A 21,567-nucleotide genomic window follows, 5' to 3' on the forward strand; every position below is an offset into this window, starting at 1 on the left:
GAGCATAGACTCGAAGGTGTCTGAATAGCAGTTTCTGTAATTCACCTGCCCCTTCTAATGGTTTAGCTTGGGGTAACTCCCAAGGCATGGTAATGTTCTAGGAGTAACACGACATTTGTCTTAGCATTTGGGCCACTGACCAAGAGATTTATGGGGACTCCAAGTACCATTGAGCCCGCCTTTGCAAAAATTATAACAGAAAGTTATGACACCGAGAGTGATCTGATCTCACCAACCCTCATCTTGCCTCTAACTTTCAAAATGCCCTTGGTCATTCCTGGACTTGAGCCGAGCTAACTTTGGGAGAAATTTAATTTATAGTTTAAATGAGAATAGCCCTTCCCCAAAACTAAGCCGCCTTCATAAAACTAATGAAAGGCTACCAGGTGGCCGGCCACAGTGGCTTAAGCTTGTAATCCCAGCACTTTGAGAGGCTGGGGTGGGAGGATCGTTTGAGCCAGGAGTTCAAGACTAGCCTGGGCAACTTAGTGAGACCCTGCCTCTACAAAAAAAAAAAAAAAAAAAAATTAGCAGTGCATGATGTCATTTGCCTTTGGTCCCAGCTACTCAGGAGGCTGAAGTGGGAGGATCACTTGAGCCCAGGAGTTTTAAGCTGCAGTGAGCCACGATCACACCACTGCATTCCTGCCTGGGGGACAGAGTAAGAACCTGTTTCTTAAAAAAAAATGAAAAGAAAAGAAAGGCCACCAGGTTAGGAGGATGAGAGGGGCCTAAATTTCGCTAAGACGCAGGCATAGTTAAATGACAACCAGCCATTATTCCAGAGGATACAAGATTTGCAACTGTCCCAATTCACTATTGTGGAACCTAAGATTGGCCTTTTGAGATGTCTTTACCTGCATTTCTGATGACCGGATGGCCCCACCCAGACCTTCAACTCTTGGCTCAGCCGGTCCTGGGGAGCCCGCCCAGAAGTGGACTTGGTGCACAAGGACCAATTTCCACAACCCTGTGATTGCATCCCCAACCAATCAGCAGCCCCCATTCCCCAGCCCCCTGCCCACCAAAGTATCCTTTAAAAACCCTAGCCTCCAAATTTTCAGATTGATTTGATTTGAGACAGGAGTGGCCAACCTTGTGTCAATTAAGCTCTTTCTTTATTGCAATGCCGTCGTCTCAGTGAATTGGTTTTGTCTGTGCAGTGGGCAGGAGGAACTCATCAGGTGATTACATCATCTTGCTTGGCCTCTTAGCGAAGACCGCACCTAAACCACATCAAACAAGCAATGTGTGGTGAAGCTCTCATAAAGTAGGTCCAGGGAGAGGGAGACCGCACAGGTGGCCTGCGTCAGTGATTTGGCTCTGACACAGACGCTTTTTCTCATAAGATCATTCAGGCTCCTTAGGCTGGTTTCATATGTCGTGGTCTCTTGGTTTTCGTGTCAATGGGATCAGAGATTCACCCGCAATTTGCATTTTGAAATTAAAGTTATCGTTTTGATTTTCTTTTGAACAATCTTTTTTCCCGAGGCACCCTGATCTTCCCCCATAGCCGTGGGCATGCTATAGGAGATCGATTCAGATCTGAGTTGAATCCTGGCTCTGCCCACTCCCTGGCTGTGTACCATTGGGTTGGTTATATTGCAACTCCAAACCTCAATGTCTTCATCGGTATAATAGGCCCCACAATCCCATCTTTGAAGAGTCGGAACAAGGGTGAAATGGCTGGCATAGAGCACACCCTTCCCAACTGTCTGTTCCTTTTTTTTTGGCAGGGGGGTGGTAGTTGGACATCAAGGACTTTATAGCCAGCCTGACTCTCCTGTCTCTTCTAGCCTCCCGTCTCTCCCGGTCCCGTGACTCCCAGTGAGACACATCAATGAAACTCAGACTCGAATCTCTGTCCAGCTCCCAGTTCTTACAGAATCAGATTTGGTCTTGGGAGAATGATCGCAGCAAGGGGGCTTTAGAATAGTTCCTTCTCTTCATTCTCTGAGAGCTTTAAACTCAACCTTGAGTTAGAAAATCACCCCTGGCCCCTTCCTGGGTGGCAGAATCACTGCTGTCACCAGCATCATTGCTTCAGCCCATGGCTGGAGCTGAGTGGCCCAGACCTCAGAGGGACGCTGCCCTACAGGAGGGCAGGCTGGCTGCCTAAAAATAGGAGGAGACTGGGTTTTTGGGGAGGGCAGCTTAAGCTTGTTTTTCTATTATTTATATAATTATAAATAGTGACCAATTACCGGAACTTGCAGGGGGCAGATGGAATGTTGTCCCTGGATGGGCTTCAAACTCTGCATTGTTGTCCAAGAAACAAAGTTACCAACCAGAAAGAGGTGGCAAGGGCCCCAAATCTGTTTTCACTTCACCATCACTTTACATCGAGCCTGGTAGGGGAGGCTGGGCAGGGGCCGGGGGGTGGGAGCTGTTGAAGAAGACAGGAATAATCAGCATTTGGAAGACTCTGCTAGGACCTCTTCTCAGGTAGAAATGCAACAGCCCTGGGTAGAGATGCTTTTATTTATTCATCATTTGTGATTTGGAGAGAGGCATCCTACACCATTAGAGAGGACTGTGTGGTAGGCAGAATGTGGCCCCCAAAGACGCCCACGTCCTAATCCCTGGAATGGGTGAATATGTTAGGTTACATGGCAAGAGGGAATTAAAGGAGCAGATGGAATGAAGGTTGCTAATCAGCTGACCCTGAGATGGGGGAGATTACCCTGGATTATCTGGGTGGGCCCAATATAATCACAAGAGTCTTTATATGTGAAAGAGGAAGGCAGGCTGGGCTCGGTGACTCGTGCCTGTAATCCCAACACTTTGCGGGGCTGAGGAGGGCAGATGGCTTGAGTCCAGAAGTTCGAGACCAACCTGGGCAACATGGTGAAACCCCATACGTACAAAAAATTCAAAACAATTAGCCGGGTATTGGTATTGCATGCCTGTCGTCCCAGCTACTCAGGAGCCTGAGGTGGGAGGATCACCTAAGTCTGGGAGGCGGAGGCTGCAGTAAGCCATAATCATGCCACTGCACTCCAGCCTGGGTGACAGAGTGAGATCCTGGCTCAAACCAAAACCAAACCAAACCAAATCAAAGAGGAAGGCAGGAGGGTCAGAGCCAAGAGTGACATGATATGAGAAAGACTCAATCGGCCATTGCTGTTTGAAGATGAAGGAAGGGCACCAAGGAAGCTAGGCGGGCTCTAAACTGGAAAATACAAGAAAACACATTCTCCTCTGGAGCCTCTGGAAGGAACACAGCCCCACTGACACCTTGATCTTAACCCAGCAAGACCCATTTTGGACTTCTGACCTCCAGAACCATAAGATCATCATTTTTTTTTTTGAGACAGAATCTCGCTGTTCCCCAGGCTGGAGTGCAATGGTGCAATCTTGGCTTACTGCAACCTCTGCCTCCCAGGCTCAAGCGATTCTCCTGCCTCAGCCTCCCAAGTAGCTGGGATTACAGGCAGGTGGCACCGTGCCCAGCTTATTTTTGTATTTTTAGTAGAGGCAGGGTTTCACCATGTTGCCCAGGCTGGTCTTGAACTCCTGACCTCAGGTGATCCACCTGCCTCAGCCTCCCAAAGTGCTGAGATTACAGGCGTGAGCTTTTGTTTATATAAGCCACTGAGTTGGTATAATAATTTGTTGCAGCAGCAACAGGAAATAAATACACACGCTGGGTTTGCACTTGGAAAAATACAGTGCCAAGGAGACAGCGTTGACCAGACTGTCTTCCTACAGGGATGATTTTTCTTTTTTCTTGAGGCAGGGTCTCGCTCTGTTGCCCTGGCTGGAGTGCAGTGGCATGATCACAGCTCTCTGCAGCCTCAAACTCCTGGGCTCAAGCGATCCTCCTGCCCCAGCCTCCTGAGTAGCTGGGATTACAGGCACACACCACCAAGCCTGGCTAAGTTTTAAATATTTTGTAGAGACAGGGCCTCGCTATGTTACCCAGGCTGGTTTTGAACTCCTGGTCTCAAGCAGTCTGCCTCAGCCTCCCAAAGTACTGGGATTACAGGCATGAGCCATTGGCCCAACCCTAAAAGGATGATTTAAGTTCTGTGTGCATACAATCACCTTGGTTCTTATTTAAATTCAGATTCTCAGGTCCAGGTGTTCTATCTCAGGAGGCCCAGGAATGCATTTTTTACTTCTTGTATTTTTATTGATATATCATAGTAGCAAATATTTTGGGGGCTTGTGATATTTTGATATATGTATACAATGTGTCATGATCAATCAAGTTAATTGGGATGTGCGTCACCTCATTTTTTCTTTGTACTGGGAACAATTTTTCTCTTCTAGCTATTTTGAAATATAAATTACTGTTAACTATAATTCCCTACTTACTATCAGATTCCCTACTATCAAATACTAGAACTTATTGCTTCTATCAAACTGTAATTCTGGACCCATTACAGGAATGCTTTTATTTTTTTTGAGACGGAGTCTCACTCTGTTGCCCAGGATGGTGTGATCTCAGCTCACTGCAACCTCCACCTCCCAGGTTCAAACGATTCTCCTGCCTCAGCCTCCTGAGTAGCTGAGATTACAGGCGCGCGCCACCATGTGCCTGTATTTTTAGTAGAGACAGGGTTTCTCCATGTTTTCCAGGCTGGATTCAAACCCCTGACCTCAGGTGATCCGCCTGCCGTGGCCTCTCATCTCAAAGTGCTAGTATTACAGGTGTGAGCCACCGAGCCCGGCTTTTTTAAGATGAGATCTCACTCTGTTGCCCAGGCTGGAGTGCGGTGGTACAAACATGGCTCACTGCATCCCCAACCTCCTGAACAACTAGGACTAGAAGCGCACCACCACGTCTGGCTAGTTTTTTAATTATGTGTAGAGACGAAAGCTCACTATGCTGCCCAGGCTGCTTAAACTCCTGGGCTCAAGCAATCCTCCTGCTTTGGCCTCCCAAAATGTTAGGATTACAGGCGTGAGTCACTGTGCCCAGCCAGGAGTGCATTTTAAATGAGAACTCCAGGTGATTTTGATGGAGATGGTCTTGTGTGTTTTGTAATGGCTTTGAGATATCATCCACATACGACGCCTCCATTTAAAGTGCACAATTCAATGATTTTTCATATCTTCAGAGTTGTGCAGCCATCACTACAATCAATTTTAGAACATTTTTGTCAGCCCCAAAAGAAACCCCATACTCCCTGTCACCCCTCAATTCCCCCATCCTCTCCGGGTTCTGGCAACCACTAATCTCTTCTGTCTCTGTGGATTTGCCTATTCTGGACATCACATATAAACGGAATCATATGATATGTGGCCGTCTGTGTCTGGCTTCTTTCACTCAGCATAAGGTCTTCAAGGTTCATCCACGTTGTAGCACCTGTCAATGCTTCATTCCTTTTCATGACTAAGTAATATTCCACAGATAAACCACATTTTGTTTATCCATTCACGGGTTGATGAACACTTGGGTTGATTTCACCTTTTGGCTCTTATGAATAGTGCTGCTGTGAACACTAGAGTACAAGGGTCTGTTTGAATCCCTGTGACAACCTCATTTTGACACCCATGGACACAGTGGCTGGGGAGTCATTCTCCTTTCTGTATGCATCACTTTCAGAGCAGGGACAAGGGGAGTGAGTACAGGGAATCACTGGATGAGGAAGTTCTATACGTGCCAGTAACTGTACAGCTTCCCTCAAAGTATCTCATGTAACTGTCATGGCCAAAGACAGAGGCTTGGGCAATTAATCACACTGTGTTGCCAATGTAGAAACAGAGACTCACAGAAGCTCAAATCACTTACTTGAGTTCACATGGTCCGCAGGTGACACAGCCCTGGTGGGTCCAAGCCCCTGACCCACGAAGCAGTGATACTTCTCACAGGTGCCTATCTCCACCGGGGGTTACCTGGCTGGCAAAACAGGAAGAAAATGCAAAATCCATTTCTTCCATCTGCTGAATCAGATGGCCACAATTTAGCTTCCAGTAATGACCAAGGAATTCCCCTTTGCAGAGTACTAAGCACTTTCTAGATTCTATAAACCTTGCTGCCTCCTAAGACAACACTACAGAATGTGCATTCTTCACATCTCTGTTATGAGCACAAGGAACTGAGGCTTGGCAAAGCGACCCCAGGCTGCCACACTGGTTCTCAAATGGTTTTGTGCCATAGGATTCCTTGTGTAAAAGGGGGCCCAGGAACCTGCATTTTAACAAGGATTGGCCGGGTGCGGTGGCTCACGCCTGTAATCCCAGCACTGTGGGAGGTTGAGGTGGGTGGATCACTTGAGGTCAGGAGTTCAAGACCAGCCTGGCCAACATGGCAAAACCCTGTCTCTACTAAAAATACGAAAATTAGCCAGGAGTGGTGGTGCACACCTGTAATCCCAGCTACTTGGGAGGCTGAGGCAGAAGAATTGGCCCAACCCAGGAGGCAGAGGTTGCAGTAAGCCAAGGTCACGACACTGCACTCCAGCCTGGGCAACAGAGTGAGACTCTGTCTCAAAAAACAAACAAGGACTGCACCGGGAAAGGGACAGTTAAGAGCCCCCTTGGACTAAGGTGCTAGCTTCTCATGGCCTCACTGTCCCTGGATACCTGCAGGAACAGACTCCACACTCAGGTGGAAGGAGGGGGATCCTTCCCAAAGGGCCACCTCTGTGACCACAAAAGGGCACAGACCGGGAGGAAAAGCTATGACTTAGCTGTCCCCTCGGCTGTCTGGCCTCCAGGCAGGCCCACACCTCCAGTGTGCTAGTAAGTGACAGAGCTGGAACTGAATGCTGAGTTGGCCACCTTTGGGGGACCATGAGCTGCCCCACGGGGCGATGCAGCTGGCTGTGGAGCTGTGAGCCAATCTCAGCACCTCATTCACCCCGGCACCTCCCCATCCAGGGAGGCCCAGCCCCAGCCATCTCCTCCCTCCCCCACTTCCCTCCTGGGATGACTGCAATAACCAATGAGACCCGGCTGAGTGCCTGGGAGGCAGGGATGATAAATATATGTTGGGGTTCACAGTTGGTGCAGTTGATAATTTGGGGCTTACTTGGGAAAGCAGGCAGCAGGCACCTACCATTTTGACCGGCTGGGGCAGGCAGCCGGGGTGGGAGACTGTAGAGGTAAGAGGTGGGGCCTGGAGCCCTGAGGCCCCCCAGCCCTGCCTGGCCACGCTGACTCAGCAGAGCTCAGAACCTACTCTCCGCTGACAAGGCAAGCGTGCTCTTCCCAGCTGGCCGCTCTCAGCTGTCTCTTCAAACCCTCCCAGGAGGGCTGCGGAGAGCAGACACGGGAACCACACCTGGCTTCTTACCTTCATGCAGGAAAACAAGGAGTGGGATGTGAACAAAAGGCGGGAGGCTTCCCAGCTGCCCTTTAAGTAGAAGCTTCATCTGTGCCAAGGAGACCATGTGGTTAGTGGGTAGGGGAGAAAAATGCTTTGAGGGTTTCTGGGTCCCAGCTGCCTGCACAGGCGGGTGAAAGTCCTGCACCAGGTTTGTTGTTTTGACCTGATATAGGACCCTTCTAGGGGAGAAAATCTGGAGAGAAGTTCTCCCTCCCTCCCTCCTTTCCATAGGAGCTGAACAGCTGAACTTCTACTGAAGCCGGGGAACTCAAGGCAGGGCTGACAAGCCCCTTGTAATTGGCTAGTTCTACCCTCTCGTTTCCCTTCCTTTTTTTTTTTTTTTTGACAGAATCTCACTGTGTCACCCAGACTGGACTGCAGTGGTGGGATCTCAGCTCACGGCAACTTCCGCCTCCCAGGTTCAAGCAATTCTCTGGCTTCAGCCTCCCAAGTAGCTGGGATTGCAGACGTGCACCACCATGCCTGGCTAATTTTTGTATTTTTAGTAGAGATGGGGTTTCACCATGTTAGCCATGCAGGTCTCAAACTCCTGACCTCAGGGGATCCACCCACCTTGGCAAAGCGCTGGGATTATGGACGTGACCCATCATGCCTGGCACACACCCTCATTTTCACAGAGGAAGAAACAGAAGCTCATAGTGGTCACCCATCAAGGATATAACTGGCTGGATCTAGATCAGGTCCTGAGACTCAGACAGGGGCACAGGGGGACTCTGCAAGGGTGGATTCGGTCAGGTTCTCCAGCATTCTGGTATGAAAAGGCAGGTTCCTGTCTGGGCGTGGTGGCTCAGGCCTTTAATCCCAGCAGTTTAGGAGGCCGAGGCAGGCAGATTACCTGAGGTCAGGAGTTCAAGACCAGCCTGGGGAACATGGTGAAAACCCGTCTCTATTAAAAATACAAAAATTAGTTGGGCATGGTGGTGGGCACCTGTAATCTCAGCTACTTGGGAGGCTGAGGCAGGAGAATCACCTGAACCCAGGAGGCAGAGGTTGCCGTGAGCCGAGATCACGCCACTGCACTCCAGCCTGGGCGAAGAGCAAAACTGCATCTCAAAAAAAAAAAAAAAGGGCTGGTTCCTGGAACCTGTTGAGAGAGAACTACTGAGCTGGCTCCTCTGTACATTCAAATCTGAGAGCCCCTGCTCTAGAGACCTGGACAGCTCTGGGGTCAAGTCCTGTCTTTGGCCTTAGGCAAGTGACTTCACCCCTCCAATCCTTGGTTCCCGTCTATGGCCCGTGAAATGGGCACACAGATTTTACATGAAGTGCTGCCATATGGAAGGTGCGCAGTAACAGACGAGTGTGACTCTGGTCATTGGCCGGCTCGGGGCCTGCTGCTCCAGGTGCAGTTGCTGGGCCTGGCCGGGACTCAGTGGGGAATGATGGCCTCTCAGGAGGCTCCCTGCACAAGCTGACGTGCATGGGGCAGAAAGTCCGCAGAGATTAGTTGTTCTCAGGTTGTGTGCTGCAGGAGATGGGGAGGACAATTTGGTGCCTGTCTCCTGGGGGCAGGTCCCAGCCCCTCAGAAGGAAGAAGCATAGACAGGCCTGAATATTTATGAAGCCTGGGGCTCAACCCCAGCCACAGATATCACAGGGTGAAGAGTGGGCCTGTCCATTTCTAGGTGGAGGAAGGTGGGTGTGGATACGCATGAACTCAGCACTTAGGCACCCCTGTGGGTAGGTCAGCAGGAGGTGGGGAGGGTCCCAGGAGCAGGGGCGCCTACAGGAGGCATCCTTCCCAGGACCTCAGTCAGAGGTGCAGGGGCAGAACTGAGGACAGATGGGATTACTGCAAAGTTCCCTTTCCCTCTGTCTCTGTCCACAGAGCATGGTGGAACGGGGGATACCTTCACGCCACTCACACTGAGGCTTCATTTCCTATCCAGGAGGACGCAGACAGAAGGCCCATGGCTTTGGATCAGCCTTGACATTCAGAAGTCAAGGACAATAGAGTTTTCTCGAGATGCATATATGTTTAGAAGCAGCAACATGAAGCTAAAGTCTCTTTCTGGAGGACTCAGGAGTGAGAGCCCTCTGTCTACTGCGGTACGGAGAGAGCCCAGGTGCAGAATGAACCAGAGCGGCCGTTCTTGAACCTGGCCTCACATTAGAACCACCTGGGGAGTATGTAGAACGCCTGATGCTCAGGCCACACCCAGACCCCATGTGAATGAAGGCTGAGGGGTGGGAAGGGCAGCATCAGTACTGTTTTTATTTTTATTATTATTTTTTAATGTTTAAAAATTTTTTTTTTTGAGATGGAGTTTTACTCTGTCGCCCAGGCTGGAGTGTAGTGGCATGATCTTGGCTTACTGCAACCTCTGTCTCCTGGGCTCAAGTGATTCTCCTGCCTCAGCCTCCTAAGTAGCTGGGATTACAGGTGTGCGCCACCATGCCCAGCTAATTTTTTTTTTTTTTTTTGTATTTTTAATAGAGGCAGGGTTTCACCATGTTGGCCAGGCTGGTCTCGAACTCCTGACCTCAAGTGATCCACCTGCCTCGGCCTCCCAAAGTGCTGGGATTACAGGAGGGAGCCACCACACCTAGCCAGTGCTGTTTTTAAATCCCCCAGGTGATTCCAAAATGCTGTCAAGTTTGACAACAGACCATTGTCTCTACCCCAGCTGCAAAAGAGACCAACCTGGAGAGCTCTAATCCCAGGCAGATGAAATTAGAATCTTTGGGGGGGTAGTAGGGGCCCAGGTGGTGGTGTCTGTAAAGGGTATATACAGGGTAGAGAATCACAAATCGAATCAACCCAGTGGTGTGATTCTGCACCACCTGGCATGGTGTGTGTCTGAGTGTGTATGTGCGATAGTGTGTTCTCGGAGAGTCCTGGTGTGTGACCTTGGGCTGAGATTAGGCACTTGGCAGCTGCGCTGAAGCCGTAGCTCATTAACCCCCATAACCCAGGGACGAGAGTGGTGCATTAGCCAGGAGCAGCTCACAGGTGGCACCTGCACAACGGCTCCTCCGAGGCTGCCTGTCGCTTGCCCATCTCTGCCTCTTTCAACTCAGGTTGCATTTAGGGCCTCACAGGGAAGAAACGTTTCCTTTCCTCAGTAAATCAGTCTGGAGCTGTTCTTTGGGACAACACTGGTAAAGGAAACCTTAGGAATTTTGGTGAATGCAGCGTGGCCCTGGGCAAGTCACTTCTCTGTAGCACTTCCTTTATTTATTTATGTATTTATTTATGTATTTATTCATTACTATTTTAGATGTAGTTTCACTCTTGTTGCCCAGGCTGGAGTGCAGTGGCACAATCTCGGCTCACTGCAACCTCCACCTCCCGGGTTCAAGCGATTCTTCTGCCTCAGCCTCCCAAATAGCTGGGAGTAAAGGCACACGCCACCATGCCCAGCTAATTTTTTTGTATTTTTAGTAGAGACAGGGTTTCACCACATTGGCCAGGCTGGTCTCCAACTCCTGACTTCAGGTGATCCACCTGCCTTGGCCTCCCGAACTGCTGGGATTACAGGTGTGAGCCACCGTGCCCAGCCCTTTATTTTTATTTTATTTCATTATTATTTTTTGAGATGGAGTCTCACTCTGTCACCCAGGCAGGAGTGCAATGGTGTAATCTCAGCTCACTGCGCCCTCCACCTCCCCGAGCTCAAGTGATCCTCCTGCCTCAGCCTCCCAAGTAGCTGGGACTACAGGCGTGTGCCACCACATCCAGCTAATTTTTTGTATTTTTAGTAGAGACGGGGTTTCACCATGTTTGCCAGGCTGGTCTCGAACTCCTGACCTCAAGTGATCTGCCCGCCTCAGCCTCCCAAAGTGCTGGGATTACAGATGTGAGCCACCACACCTGGCCTGTGCTTCCTTTCTTTAAAGAAGATAAAAGACGAATCTCCTCTTGTCCTCTTGTCACAATGCATGTGAGTAAGCGTACTGGGCTCTCTGAAAGTCAGCTGTGATGAATTTTTAAAAGATGACCTATCCACAGATGCGGTGCTCACACCTGGAATCCCAGCACTTTGGGAGGACTGCTTGAGACCAGGAGTTCGAGACCAGCCTGGGTAACATAGCAAGACCTCCATGTCTACAAAAAAAAAAAAATAGCTGGGCAAGGTGATGTGGGCCTGTAGTCCCAGCTATTCAAGAGGCTGAGGTGGGAGGATCGCTTAACCTGGGAGGTCAAGGCTGCAGTGAGCCGTGATGGTCCCACTGCACTCCAGCCTGGGCAACAGAGCAAGACCGTGTCTAAAGAAAAAAAAATGACTTATCAAGCTTCTATGTGGTGTAAGAAGGTAAAACCCCACTGCAGAAAGAGGGAAACTGAGGCTCATGGAGCAAAGTTTAGTGGAGCCAGGGTGCAATGTCAAAATCATGGGCAGCCATGACACCTCTTGAAAATCTCCTATGGTGACCACAGAGTATGGCACTCAGAGCTTTATGTGCCTAACCAGGTACAGGAAATTATGTGTACTATGGATGGTCAAATGCCCAGGAATGTACTGTGCATAAGAGCCTGCCTATGGCAAGTAATAATCTGAAACAGTATTTTTGTAGTTTTTTAAGAGACAGGGTCTCCCTCTGTTGCCCAGGCTGGAGTGCAGTGGTGCCATCGTGTCTCACTGCAGTCTCCACCTCCCAGGTTCAAGTGATCTTCCCACCTCAGCCTCCTGAATAGCTGGGACAACAGGCCCGCACCACATTGCCCAGTTGTTTTTTTTTCATGTTTTATAGAGATGGGGTCTAGCCTTATTGCCCAGGCTGGTCTCGAACTCCAGGCCTCAAGCAATCCTCCTGCCTTGGCCTCCCAAAACATTGGGATTACAGGCATGAGCAACCGGGCCTGGCCTAAACGCGTATTTTTTATTGACTTTATATGACATTTATTTTTCCAGTTTTATTGATTTATAATTGACAAAAATTGCATATATTTAGGGTGTATATTGTGATATTTAAATATATGTCTATAAGTGAAATGATTATAATAGATAATTATTTCTATGATAATTAACATATCCATTAATATATCCATTTCAAGATAATTCACGTATCTATCCCCTTATATGCTATTTGTGTGTGTGGTAAGAACACTTGAGATCTAGTCTCTTAGCATATTTCAGGTGTACATTATTACTAATTACAGTCACTAATACAGGCCTCAGCCACTATTCTTAGTCTCAAGAACACACCTCCGCCATGCTACTGTGATCACTAGGTCTCTAGCACTTATTCATATTATGCTGAAGGTTTGTATCCTTTGACCAATATCTCTCCTCTCCCCCTGCCCCAGCCCCTGGTAACCAACATTCTACTGTCTGCTTCTATGAGTTGGACTTGCTTAGATTCCACACATAAGTGAGGTAATGCAGTGTTTGTGTTTCTATGTCTGCCTGATTTCAGTTAGAAAAATATCCTCCAGGTTCAGCCACAGTTTTGAAAATGGCAGGATCTCCCTCTTTTTTTTTTTTTTTTTTTTTTTTTGGAGACAGAGTCTCGCTCTGCCCCCCAGGCTGCAGTGGCACAATCTCGGCTCACTGCCACCTCCGCCTCCCAGGTTCAAGCAATTCTCCTGCCTCAGCCTTCCGAGTAGCTGGGACTACAGGCATGCGCCACTATGCCCAGCTAATTTTTGTATTTTTAGTAGAGATGGGGTTTTGCCATGTTGGCCAGGCTGGTCTCAAACTCCTGACCACAGGTGATCCACCTGCCTCAGCCTCCCAAAGTGCTGGGATTACAGGCATGACCACTGTACCTGGCCAAGGATCTCCCTCTTTTTGAAGGCTGAATAATATTCCTATGTGTGCGTTTCACATTTTCTTTATCCATTCATCTGTCGATGGACACTTAGGTTGTTTATCTTGGCTACTATGAATGATGTTGCAATCAACATGGAAGTGTAGCTATCCATTCAAGAAACTGATTTCATTTCCTTTGGGTAGATGCCCAGAAGTGGAATTGCTGGATCCTATGATAGTTCTATTTTTAATTTTTTGAGGAACCTCCACACTGTTTTCCACAATGGCTATACAAATTTGAAACAGCGTTTTAAGTTACCCATTTAAACTGTTACCCTTTCCTTCTTCCCTCACCCCCCACCCCACATCTCTCTAATATCTCCACTAAAAGCTCACAGCTCCTGGTAGGGACCACGATTTAACCTTGGCTTGACTTAATCTTTGCCCTCTATCCCCATAATTTATTTCCAGTCCAGAAAAAAGCCAGTGGTCACCTGTTGGGATTTTGGGCAAGTTCTGGGTTGAAATTCTCCTTCTTGTAGATTACAAGAGTTCTAGGCCAGGCGCGGTGGCTCACGCCTGTAATTCCAGCACTTTGGGAGGCCGAGGCACATGGATCACCTGAGGTCAGGAGTTTGAGACTAGCCTGGCCAACATGGTGAAACCCAGTCTCTGCTAAAAATACAATTAGCTGGATGTGGTGGCACATGCCTGTAATCCCAGCTACTCAGTAGGCTGAGGCAGGGGAATCACTTGAACCCAGGAGGAGGAGGTTGCAATGAGCCGAGATCGCACCACTGCACTCCAGCCTGGGCGTCAAGAGTGAAACTTCATCTAAAAAAAAAAAACAAAGAGTTCTAGAGTTCTAAAACTGTGATGTGCATAACATTCCCCTGGAGCCTCTGGTGTCGCAGGAAGGGTTGGGGACTCTGGGGTCAGTACCTGTTAGAAACCCCCAGGTGATGGTGAGGTTGGGGTGAGCAGGATGGCAAAATACTCTGCCCCCCACTGCTGGGAAAGGGATCTAAATCCAAGGGCCGCTCAGGGACTTCGCAGCCCCTCCCCTGTGGGCCTCTGCTCTTTGTCCCCATCCTATTGTTAAGGCCAGATGGCCACCCTTCAGCAAATAGTGGGAGGTGGAAGTGGCAGATTAGAGACCTCTAGACTCCAGCTAAAGCCTGCTCGTTGGGGGTCACCCATCCCTGTCCCACGCCTGCCTCAGCGTCCAGGCTGAGTGCCGCCCTCTCTGGAGGAACCAGGGTGGGCCACCTCAGTGAACCGGGGTGAACCGGCAGCTGTGGCTGAGCCAGGAGAAAACTCACACTCCCTCCAAGCTGCTGCTGCTGCTGGCTGGAAGCAAGGCTGGGATGCTCTGATGTCACCAGAAAGCGCCTCCTGTCAGGCCTCAGCCACTATTCTTAGTCTCAAGAACACACCTCCGCCTGTTAGAAGTCTCTCGACTTCAACAAGCTCTTTATAAATAACTTAGAAACTGGTAGTGTGCAGGGCTGCTGGCTAAGAACTTCTTTCTTTTATGCAAGATGTTCCAAGGGCCTCAGTGGTAGGCACACCTCGCTCCCGGGGAGCCCTGTAAATGTTATGATCTCAGGAACGGACGCTTCCATCCATGGGTGCTGCTGGCCCAGCTGTGCGCTAAGTGCCAAGCAGTTTCACAGGCAGTTCCAGAGCAGCTGGACGACCTGGATTCAAATCCTGGCTCTGCCACTTCCTGTGTGAGCTTGGGAAAGTCGCTTTGCTTCTCCTTGCCTCTTTGACTGCATCTACAAAACCAGGGCAATGAGAGTTGCGACAGCCCTGGGCTGTAGCAAAGAAGAAAAGAACTGAAACACACCAAGTGCTTAGAACAGCACAAGCCAGCAGCCGCCTGGGTGTCTGCCACTATCTTACTGTTGCTACTGATGTCCTTAGGAAGCACTTGTCCAGGAGAGACCTTTATCTCCATTTTATCCACAGGAAACAGAGACTCCTGCCCTCAGGTTAAATGACTGGCCTCATTCACCCGCCCTGTTGGTAGCCAAAGCAGGACTTGAACCCTAGTCTATTCCACTGGGAATCTCACGGTAAATTATAAAACTCTGCTGCCCCCTAGAGCATGAGGAGGGATCAGGCACAATCAAGACTAGCGGGGCTTCTCACCTGTGGGAACCTGTGACCAGCAGGAAAATCACTCCCTGGACACTGCTGGGGGAGCCACCCTCCTCCACCATCCTCCTCCAACATCTTGAGACCTTGGGCAGCTCAGTGCCCCCTCACTGAGCCTCAGTTTCTTCATCAATAAAATGGGTTTATAGTAACAGCATCTACCCTGTAGAGTAGTATGACAATTAAAGGACATGAGCTTTTAGGCCAGCCGCAGTGGCTCACACCTGTAATCCCAGCACTTTGGGAGGCAGACACAAGTGGATCACTTGAGGCCAGGAGTTCGAGACCAGCCTAGGCAACATAGAGACCCTGTCTCTACTAAAAATACAAAATGTAGCTGGGTGTGGTACCCTGTGCTTGTAATCCCAGCTATTCGGGAGGCTGGGGCATGAGAATAGCTGAACCCGAGAGGCAGGGGCTGCAGTGAGCTGAGATCGCACCACTGCACTCCAGCCTGGGCGACACAGCGAGACTCTGTCTCAAAAAAAAAAAAAAAAAAAAAAAAGGACGTGAGCTTTTATAAAGGCACCCTCTCCCATTTTTTTCTCTGGCCACATTGGGGTGAGTCCCATCAGCTTCCTGGATAAGGCAGGCCCCCTCCAAGACCAGCTGACCTCTCCAAGATGTGCCAGGGCTGCGGTCGCTCACGTCTCCCTCCAGGTCACCTTGGGGACTTCTCAAAACTTCATCTTTGGCACAGATTCCCTGGTGACTTGAGCTGGTTGTTTATGTGCATAAATGTCCCCTTACCCCACTGATGGACGTTGAGGTTCTTCTGATGTCCTCCCCGAGCAGGTGTTCCAGCAGGGTAACTGCTGAACCTGATGTTTCTTCTCCTCCCCCTCACCACCCACCCACCCCTAGTCATTGTGGAGCCACTCACTTGGCATGGAGAAGCACCATCTGGTGGCTTTTTCCAGGCGTTTTCCATATTTGCTATGGGACACCACGCTTGGTTGAATTCACAGGAGGGCCAATGCCTCTGGGGGCCTGGAGTGACGTGCTGGTTCCAGGAGGGAGTCAGGAATAGGAGATCTCCATTTCTCGTGTTAACACTTCCTTGCCAGGCCCCTACCAGACAATGTAAGAGGAGGAGCTCCAATGTGATGCAATCGACAGAGGGGTGCATCCTGCTCAGAAGGCAGGGGAGGCTGGGCGCGGTGGCTCACGCCTATAATCCCGGCACTTTGGGAGACCAAGGCAGGTGGATCACTTGAGGTCAGGAGTTCGAGACCAGCCTGGCTAACATGGTGAAACCCCGTCTCTACTAAAAATATAAAAACTTGCCAGGCATGGTGGTGGGCACTTGTAATCCCAGCTACTCGAAAGGCTGAGACAGGAGAATGGCTTGAACCCGGGAGGCGGAGTTTGCAGTGAGCCAAGATCGCGCCACTGCACTCCAGCCTGGGGGACAGACCAAGACTCCATCTCAAAAAGTGGGGGGGAAGGCAGGGGAAAGCAAACAGTATGCCTGGGCTAGTAATTTATTCATCAGACTAGAATGAATTCCCTTCACCTCACTTTTCCCCCCTCTCCTGTTGGTGCATCCTACAAAGGCCAGTTTTTAAGTTCTCCTTTTTGGAAATCTCCCACTGTCCTCAACTCAGCAGCCTTTTCCTTCTCTGAAATGCTACAAGAGTAAGAGTAACAGGAAGCCGGGGGCTGCAGGATCTGCGGGTGCTATGGAACAATGTATCTATGGGTCATGTCCTTTGCGGAGGTGGTGGGGGAAGAAGTCAGGAGAGAAGGAAGCAGTAAAGGCAGATGGCACATTCACTGGTAAGGCTAAGAGGAAAAGGGAGGCCTGAGATTCACAATAGGGAAGAATTAGGATTTCTGTCATCAGACCCAGGGAATCTGGACTTTGAGAGTACTGCCCCACATGGAGGGAGAAAGGGCCTTGATATCTGCCATCAGCACAGTGACTATAATTAGGGCTCAGCTGAGGTCCTTGAAAAAAATCCATTCTTCCTTCCTGGCCAAGTAGCAATTTGCAGCGTTGTGTACTTGGTGGGCACCGCCAAGTTTCTCAGGATGGCACAGTGTATTCCTTAGTCAGAATCTTTAACCCCAGAAGGTTTAGCATTAAGTACAGAAAGGATGAAGTAATGCAAAGTCATAGCTTCCTTTTTTTTTTTTTTTTGGTCCTGTATTATATTGAAAAGTAATCTACGTATATTGGTATACTTTTCTATTTTAAGGGTTTGAAATGTTTAAGAGAATTTGGCATCGTCTAACAGAAAGGCCTTGTGATTCCAATTTCAAATGAATTGAGTAATCAGTTATGGCCAGATATTTTTGTAAATTGTGGTAAAATATACATAACATAAAACTGACCATCTTAACCATTTTCAAGTGTGCAGTTCGGTGGTAGTAAGTATATTCACATTGTTGTGTCAGCCAGATTTTAAGCTGGAAGTTATATGAGAACTTAATATTAAGTTTGTAAACAGAACACTACTCTTTAAGAGAACTTAAAATTTGCATATTTAAAGTTCAATTTATTAGATGTATAAAAATTCATAATGAAGTACTTAGGAAGGTTCTGAAAAGTGCTTAAGAAGAAATCAAATATATTAAATTCATTAGTATACTTAAAGTATTTAAGGGAATTTATTGAAGTGGCTTTAAAAAACCCTTTAAAAGGCTGGGCACGGTGGCTCATGCCTGGAATCCCAGCACTTTGGGAGGCCAAGGCGGGCGGATCACGAGGTCAGGAGATCGAGACCATCCTGGCTAACACGGTGAAACCCCGTCTCTACTAAAAATACAAAAAATTAGCCAGGTGTGGTGGCGGGCACCTGTAGTCCCAGCTACTCGGGAGGCTGAGGCAGGAGAATGGTGTGAACCCAGGAGGCGGAGCTTGCAGTGAGCCAAGATCACGCCACTGCATTCCAGCCTGGACGACAGAGTGAGACTCCATCTCAAAAATAAAATAAAAAATAAATAAATACATATTTTTAAAAAACTATAAAGTATCCCCTGAATAATCTTTCACAAAAGGCTTTGAGAGCTGAATGTGGTGGTGCTCACCTGTAGTCCCGGCTACTCCTGAAACTGAGGCAGGAGGATCATCTGAGCCCAGGAGGCCACCCTGGGCAACATAGTGTCCCTGTCATCAGATCCAGGGAATCCGGGCTTTGAGAATACCACCCTACGTGGAGGGGAAAGGGGCCTTGAAATCTCACTATAATTAGGGTTTACAATCTCACTATAATCTCATCAGCACTGTAGTTGGTTTTTTTAAATTTTTTTTTAAAAATGGAAAGCCATTAAGGCCACCAGTACCCCATGCTGACAAATCAAACCATTTGTATATAAAATACCTCATGACTGAGTGGTTCCCAGACTTGAGTGTGTCTCTCAGAAGCCCTTGGAGGACTTATTAAAATACATGTCACTGAGCTCCAGCACCGGAGCTTCTGATTCAGTGGGGCTGGGTTCAGAAATCTGCATTCCTGACGAGTTCTCAGGTGATTGCAGTTGGTCTAGGAAGAGACTTTGAGAAGCACTGTGCTAAACGCAGAGAGGTAGTGTGTTCCCACCATCATTCTCCGTTATCTGAGCTGCCTTTCTTTGGGCCTTGATTCCCCTATCTCTAACGTGAGAATAACATAGTAGCACTTACCCTGCGGGGCTGCTGGGAGGATGAGAGATATATATGTGAAGTGCCTGGCACGTGCTGGGCTCACTGTGTGTGGTAAATATGTGATATGGTTTGGCTGTGTCCCCACCAAAATCTCACCTTGAATTGCAATAATCCTTGTGTCGAGTGCAGGGCTGGGTGGAGATAATTGAATCATGAAGGCAGTTCCCCCACACTGCTCTCGTGATAGTGAATAAGTCTCATGAGATCTGATGGTTTTATAAATGGGAGTTCCCCTGCACAAGCTCTCTTTCCTGCTGCCATGTAAGACGTCCCTTTGCTCTTCCTTCATCTTCCACCATGATTGTGAGGCCTCCCTAGCCATATGGAACTGTGAGTCTATTAAACCTCTTTCCAAGTTACCCGGTCTCAGGTATGTCTTTATTAGCAGCATGAAACGGACTAATACAATATGACTCCATTACCGTTACATGCCCAACATGGCTACATAGCCTGGGTGTCTTTTATATGTTCCATGCACCTAGCATACTGCTATGCACTTGGTAGGAGCTCAAAAAATATGAATGTAGGTAGAGTGAGTTCCAGGCAAAGGAAACAGCCTGTGCAATGGCCCAGAGGCAGGAGGGTGTAGGGAAGTCAGGGAGCCTCTAACTTGTGGCAGAGGCAGAGTCTGTGTGCAGGAGGGTAATACACTGTGCTTAAAAGTTTGGACTTTGTTCTAAGGGCAACAGGAAGCCATCAAGCAAGGGAGTCATTCCAAGAGATACAGATTTTAGAAAAACCAGGTAGGAGGCAGGTGAACTTGCCAAGGCAAGAGACAGTGGTGGCTTGGACCAGGGTGGTGGCAGTGGGGAGGCACAGAGGTCCAGTGTGGTCCCTAGAGCAGGACAAGGTGATGGATGAACCTTGAAGGGTGAGAGAAGGGGTGAGCCCCAGGGCTCATTTTGATGAACGAGAAAGAGTTTTATCTGCATTCAGGAACTCAACGGACTCCCTTAGGGCATTTGCCAGAGTGTGAGGCCAAATAACTGATTTCCTTCCTAAGACCCTGCCAGTCTACTCAGTGAGTCAACCTCCTCCGGTGTTAGAAACAGCCACCAATGTAGAAATGGCAAGTTGCTCGCAACCTGGATGGTTCTAGGCCTACGTGGGCATAGCTGGTCCTGATCCATGGGCAGCAGGAGGAGAGTCCAGGTTTGGTCTACAAACAATAGCCCCAAGGCAGTATTTCTGAAGCCATGGCCCCTCTCCCAGCCTGCTGTGTTCTTGTGGATTGCTGGCACATTCCACCAAGGCAGTAAGGCATGGCCAAACACCTCATATCCCATCCTGAACCCCCACACCTCACTGGGCCACCAAGAGGCAGGGGCATTTTAATTTAAAATGAAAGGACAGCAGACCATCTCCAGGCAAACCAGTGGGCTCCAGACAGATACGAGGCTTCTGAAGCAGGGAGAGGGAAGTGAATCTTGAAAAGAATAGATCAAGGGGTTGGGAGGGGAGACACATCTCCCCCAGCCTTTGATCTGTGCAGCCCAGCAATGACAGAAGTAGTAACACAAGCTGGGAACACATTTTGCTTTCGTATGACTCACTCAAGAAAGGAAAATGGAAAATTACCACTCTCCTCTCTCTCTTTCCCAAATAGGAACAGGTGCTCTTCCTTGGTGGGGAAGAGCCTAGGTGTGCGACCTGCTGGCAGGATACCTGGGCCATCTCGTGCAGCCACTGGCTCCTTCCTCGCTCTCTTGGTGCTCCCTGTTCAACAGAGGCTTTTCCAGGCAGGGTGCAAACAGCCAGAGCTTAATGAGCTTTTAAGATTAGAGATGCTATTCGCCTGGGGTTGCTGTGCAGCCGAGACTGAGGGTGACTCATGCCGAATATATACTGCCTAGACAGTGACAATTCGCAGCATCTCTCACTACTAAACTACAAAATGTTGTTCCCTTGCTCTCCCTCACCCTGGGCCATCTGTTTGTCTCTATTACTGGTTACACAGTACTGTCAGGGGACTTCTGCCCCCTCCTACATGGCTCACTTCAGGGCTGCCACTCCACACATTACAAACCTACACATCTAAGACCCGGAACCAGCCCTTCTGTTCAGCAGCAACATGTCCACCCCCAGCTCCAAGCTGGGGAGCGAATTAAAGTGATTAACAAATGGTAAATGGTGCTCAACGATTTCAATGAGTAATTAAGAGAAAGAAATGGAAGACCCAGCTGCAGAGGAAATATTAGGTATTGATATATGACATTGTTATAAACTGTCACGACTGTCACCTGTCACGTCACCTGTCAGTCATGTCACATGTCACTGTCACCTGTTGTCTGTCACTGCCACCTGTTGCATGTCACCTATTACCTGAACCATCACCTGTTGTCACGTCACTGTCATGTCGCCTATCATGTCACATCACTCATCTGTCCTGACACCTGTCACCTGTCACATCACTAACGTCACGGGTCATTTGCATGTCCTTGGCATGCAACAAACATATCATGTCATTGGTATGTCACGTCATTGGCATGGCCATGTAGTAAGCACATCTTTAACATGTAAAAAGCAGGCCATCAGCATGCTTTTGCCATGGCTTCAACACATAAGCATGCCACATGTTCCTGACATGTAAGAGACATCCTTATTATGTAAGGGGTATGTCCTTAGCACGTGATGTACATGCCCTTAGCATGTACTGTGTATGTTCTTGCAACGTTCTGCCCTTGGCATGCAGTAAGCATGTCCTTAACATGTTTTAGGATGTCACCTGTCAAATGGCACTGTCACCTATCACATGTAAT

General features: G+C 48.8%; 2 long non-coding RNA genes across 2 annotated transcripts in view, besides 2 other annotated features; one reads left to right on the top strand and one right to left on the bottom strand.

Annotated features, from left to right (window-relative positions):
- The window catches only part of TESC-AS1 (TESC antisense RNA 1), a 42,023-nt gene that overhangs the window by 5,341 nt on the left and 15,115 nt on the right, over positions 1 to 21,567 (top strand). The window lies entirely within an intron of this gene.
- LOC105370010 (uncharacterized) lies at positions 1,097 to 16,230 on the bottom strand. The gene is made up of 4 exons (XR_945398.3): positions 16,043 to 16,230; positions 7,010 to 7,246; positions 5,741 to 5,848; positions 1,097 to 2,386 (listed from the first exon to the last, which is right to left on the bottom strand). It is a non-coding gene; the product is annotated as an uncharacterized LOC105370010 (long non-coding RNA).
- Positions 1,104 to 1,243: an enhancer, noted in NCBI's record as "active region_7102". NCBI's record gives its function as "activates an Ori minimal core promoter by ATAC-STARR-seq in GM12878 lymphoblastoid cells {active_cell/tissue: GM12878}" and the evidence as "EXISTENCE:reporter gene assay evidence [ECO:0000049][PMID:35858748]".
- Positions 13,686 to 14,280: an enhancer, noted in NCBI's record as "H3K4me1 hESC enhancer chr12:117556298-117556892 (GRCh37/hg19 assembly coordinates)". NCBI's record gives its function as "activates a minimal SCP1, AML or CMV promoter by ChIP-STARR-seq in naive H9 embryonic stem cells {active_cell/tissue: H9 hESC(naive)}" and the evidence as "EXISTENCE:reporter gene assay evidence [ECO:0000049][PMID:30033119]".

Source organism: Homo sapiens, chromosome 12 (assembly GCF_000001405.40).
Source record: "Homo sapiens chromosome 12, GRCh38.p14 Primary Assembly".
Lineage (NCBI taxonomy): Eukaryota > Metazoa > Chordata > Mammalia > Primates > Hominidae > Homo > Homo sapiens.